The following is a 4,851-nucleotide window of genomic DNA, read 5'->3' on the forward strand; positions in this document are numbered from 1 at the left end:
TCATTCTTCACTGCTGTGAAATAGTATGTGAATAACTCATTTTCAGCTTTAAAATGCATCAGTGAGTCATGGAGGCTCATAAGAACCCTTTGACATAGTTTCCTGGAGAATTCTGAAAAATTTCATGTCTATTCTGAAGTGGCAACCTAAATCACTATTTCTTTTCGAGAAGTGCTTCCCAAACTTTAGTGTACATAAGAATCATCTGAGAGCTTGTTGAAATGCAGATTCCTGGGCCCTGCTTCTTGAGGTTCTGGTTCAGGAAATGTCGTGTGGTGCCTGAGATTTTTACATTTCCCAGATCAAGCTGAGGGATCTACTACCCTGGTACAGCTTCTGCCTCAGTCTCCTGGAAACACTGTTCACATGTCCTTTTTTTTTGTTTTTGTTTCTGTTTATTTTTTTGAGACAGAGTCTCCCTCTGTCACCCAGGCTGGAGTGCAGTGGTGTGATCTCAGCTCACTGCAAGCTCCACCTCCTGGGTTCACACCATTCTCCTGCCTCAGCCTCCCAAGTAGCTGGGACTACAGGTGCCTGCCACCATGCCTGACTAATTTTTTGTATTTTTAATAGAGACGGGGTTTCACCGTGTTAGCCAGGATGGTCTCGATCTCCTGACCTCGTGATCCGCCTGGGCCTCCCAAAGTGCTGGGATTACAGGCGTGAGCCACTGTGCCCAGACAACCACATGTCCTTTTAAACATACACAATACATGGATACGAAGTTCCAACCTTGCACATAGTAAAAAGGGATATTTTGCCATTTCACTGTCATCATTAACTATGTTACATAAAATAGATGTTCAGGAAATGATAGCGCGGTAGTTTCTATCACATGCATCACATGTTGATCCCTTCCCTCTGTAATTATGCCCAACTGAAAAGTTGTGCATTTGTACAAGAGAAAGCAATGACTTGTGCAGGAAACAAACTACTATAGAGCTTCATCGGTATTAAAATGTACATGTGTTTGTGAATTCTCATTATTAACTATAACTGTCCACAAAGCTCCAGTGACTCAGCTCTTCATCTCTAACATTTTGCAGACTGAATTGTTAGGTCTGTGGACAGACCTTTGGAGGATATAAGACAGCACGAATAAATAGTTAATATAGTATAAAATATAAATTATCTGTAGGCCAATTAAGGTCATGAACATTTTAGGGAGAAGGGCTTTAGGAGCCATGGCTTTAAGAACACCTCATATATCCTACGAAATGGTGATAGACAGCAATCAATTCGCTTGTAATCTAGCAAGGTATTAAGAAGTTTGAGCTTTCTGAAAGAGCTGAATGATAAGAGAGGTTTGACTAATGTTGGGAAAAGAAGCATGTCTTTTGCTTTGGAAAAAGAACCAAATTATTATGATCATTCTCCATTTATCAGTAAAATATTTTTTAGCACACACATGCTAATATATGCATATTTACTTATTTCTAAGTATTTATGCTCATCATTATAATCTATACATACTTTATACATAAATATTTCAAACGACACACTACAATATACATTTGGAAAATTGAGATAAAGATTAAATTTAAAAATTTGTCTTACCAATATCTGCATATTATCATTAATTCAAAGCAAAAAGCATAATTTACAGTTAAAGAAAGGGTTATCATTAACAATATTAAATGTGAATCCATTATTTAAGTGGACTTACTGATAATTTTAACTTTTTGGAAGAAAATGTGTCAATATAAATAGATAACATTTTCTTTAGTCTCCTAATGTGGCTTAATGCCCATAGTAGAAGTAGGGTAAATATTAGCTGTGCATTTTTTTGTTCTCTGCCTGTTCTTGTATTATTATATTACATTCAAGTGGTGGTTTCTTTGCTGGAATCTTTTTAAGCTTTCCATCTAAACCCTAGTTGGATATTTTCTCTTTTTCCTTCAACTTTCTTAGCACTCTTGATATGTGTATCATTTCTTTAGTCAATGATCAGTTACAATCTATAGATTCTTGGTTATCTATTTTTTTTTTTTTTTTTTTGAGACAGAGTCTCGCTCTGTCGCCCAGGTTAGAGTGCAGTGGCGCGATCTCAGCTCACTGCAAGCTCCGCCTTCCGGGTTCACGTCATTCTCCTGCCTCAGCCTCCCGAGTAGGTGGGACTAAAAGCGCCTGCCACTACGCCTGGCTCTTTTTTTTTTTTTTTTTTTTTTTGGTATTTTTAGTAGAGATGGGTTTTCACCGTGTTAGCCAGGATGGTCTCGATCTCCTGACCTTGTGATCCGCCCGCCTAAAGTGCTGGGATTACAGGCGTGAGCCACCGCGCCTGGCCAGATTATTGGTTATCTATTACTCCTTGCAATTTCATTACCGAGTGCCCAATCTTATCCATAGCAAATGCTTAACAAATATATATTAACTAATAAGTAATAGAGAGAGGAAGAACAATTTTCATATAAATGCATAATAAGAGACAAAAGAAGCTTTTCATTTTTAGTTAGGAATTAAATCTATCATGTTTTTTCTTTTTTAAAAAAGGCTTTAATTTTAATTAATTTTCAGCAATAATATAATAAAAGATTGTTTTTCTGTGAAACTTCATGCCATGCCAACAGGATGATGACTCATACGCCACTAGAAATCTGACACATCACATTACTTTCACTTATTTTTATAGCATGTAAATTGTCTCACATCCGATAAGTCGGCAACAGAAGAACTCCCTGGAGATGGACTAAAATAATTCAGGAGGAGCAAGTGTCTTTAAATCTAAAAAATATTCAGAAAATATCTGCTTTGAATGTAATAGAAAGAGGGTAATAAATGTACATTACTGAGTCTCTTTTACTAGTGTTACAATATATAAGCACATCTATAATTCTGGCATTTCATAAAAGCATTGATTTTTAAAGTAAACGTATTGATATTAGTTTTAGCAATAGAAAATGACAACTATTTCACAGTAACATCTACAACTTCACAAGCTGGGAAACTTCCCTAAAATGTATTTATTTTAAATTGAAAAAAATCTAAAATTACGTATACTGACTCATTTGAAAAATAGCAATAGAATCAATGAATTCAGAGCAACAAAGCTAAATTTGGCAAAAATATTTGTTAAAAAATCAGAAGACAGATTTTATACACACTCATAACCCCTTCTCCTTTGAAGAGTCTTATATTGTGAATGATTGGTTTTGCAGGTTTATTATACAATCTTCTGTTAAAATAAAGTTAACAAAAATTTATTTTTCATTCAAAAGTTAATTTAGACATGACAAACCTAAAATCCTCCAAAAATGTCTTGTGATAGTTTTGTTGACAACAGCCTGGGACTTTCTGTACTTTTTGAACTTTACCCCCCTGTATGGGAGGAAGTCAAATAGCCACAGGTATCCCTTAGAAGTTTTAATGAGGTCCATTTATTTTTATTTCCCTTCTATTCTTAGGTATTTTCCATTGTTAGCAGGTCTGTGGACAAAAGCATTTAGTTAGGCATGAGCTTCTAAATCCAATTTATCTTTCGTTTGGAAAAAAATAGAAAGAACTTGTACTTTTTATTTTTATGCCATGCATAAAGAACCAACACACCAAACTCATGAAAACCCAAATTACTGATACAAGTTGAGAGTAAAATGTGGCTAATTTTTTTTTTTTTCTCCCAGATAGCAACCACTACCAGTGTTGAACACAGGGGTGCAAATGAGACCACATTGTCTCGGACATCTGCTGCTGTATTGGTATGGGAGCATGACTCAGAGGAAGAAATGAATAAAGTGTTTATACCCAAAGGGATTATAAATATTCTGGAATATAAAGACTGATAGAAGATTACCAAAGGGCTCACTTAACAAAGTGTGGAAATTTAACTCCATAACTACATGTAATAGCTGATCATAAAACAGTAATACATTACGGCACATATTAAGATTCTAGAGTCCTTTTTAACCCTTAACATCCCTAATTCTCCCAGACAAAATGTGGCAAACTCCCTGAAATTTTTAACAATACCATGTGTGAGTCAATTGAGAAAGAATTCCTAATAGAGGTTAAAACCACAATAGCCTCTGAGCATGCTAGGAGGGAAAATAGGTAGACATTAAATTTAAAAACATATTTCCTGCCCTTTCAGATAGGGGATATGTTGTGATATGGACATAGACACACATACACCATAAAGTCTAAAACTGTGCTATTACATAAGGTGACATATCAGGGCAGATAATATATTTATTTTTAAACCTTCAGTGTTAATCAGCTTAACTGACCAACAACAATTATACCTCTCCTAGAGACAATCATTTTTACAGTCAAGGCATATTTAAATGCCAGAATAAATACCCACATTCACATGTACACACTAGAGGAAAAAATAAAGTCTTTTAGGAAAATAAAAGATAAAAATGTGAGGAAAGGGTTTATAGTAGATAATTCTAGCATATTATCATTCCTGCTTTAAGTGGTGTGATCTTTGAAACTCATTTAATCCTGGAAACACTTTAGAGAGCTTCAAAACCTATTTTGGAATTTGCCTAACTCAGAAGAAGGCAAAATATCATATAATCAAAGAAAAGATTTTTGCTGTGGTAAAACATAGATAAAATTAAAAACCATAACAAGTGGTCTGATAGATTAGCATTTCAGCTGCCATCAACACAGCACAAAATTTCCTATAGTCAAGTGAAACTCCTTGTGGGATATATATGAGTACCAAGGAACTTCCAGTCCACACAAAGAGAATCACTTCTGTAGAATCTTTGGATGATAAGGCTAAGGGGAAGGCATGCTGAGGCAAACAGAATCCAAGACAGAGAGAGCTTGGTTCTTACAGCGATCTATAATTGGTGATACGCACAGGGTGGTCTCTGGGCCAACAGCATTAACATTGCCTCGTGT

At 35.4% G+C, this 4,851-nt stretch overlaps 1 annotated feature.

Annotated features, from left to right (window-relative positions):
* Positions 3,078-3,689: an enhancer, noted in NCBI's record as "OCT4-NANOG hESC enhancer chr2:147578911-147579522 (GRCh37/hg19 assembly coordinates)". NCBI's record gives its function as "activates a minimal SCP1, AML or CMV promoter by ChIP-STARR-seq in primed H9 embryonic stem cells {active_cell/tissue: H9 hESC(primed)}" and the evidence as "EXISTENCE:reporter gene assay evidence [ECO:0000049][PMID:30033119]".

This window comes from Homo sapiens, chromosome 2, assembly GCF_000001405.40.
Source record: "Homo sapiens chromosome 2, GRCh38.p14 Primary Assembly".
NCBI lineage: Eukaryota > Metazoa > Chordata > Mammalia > Primates > Hominidae > Homo > Homo sapiens.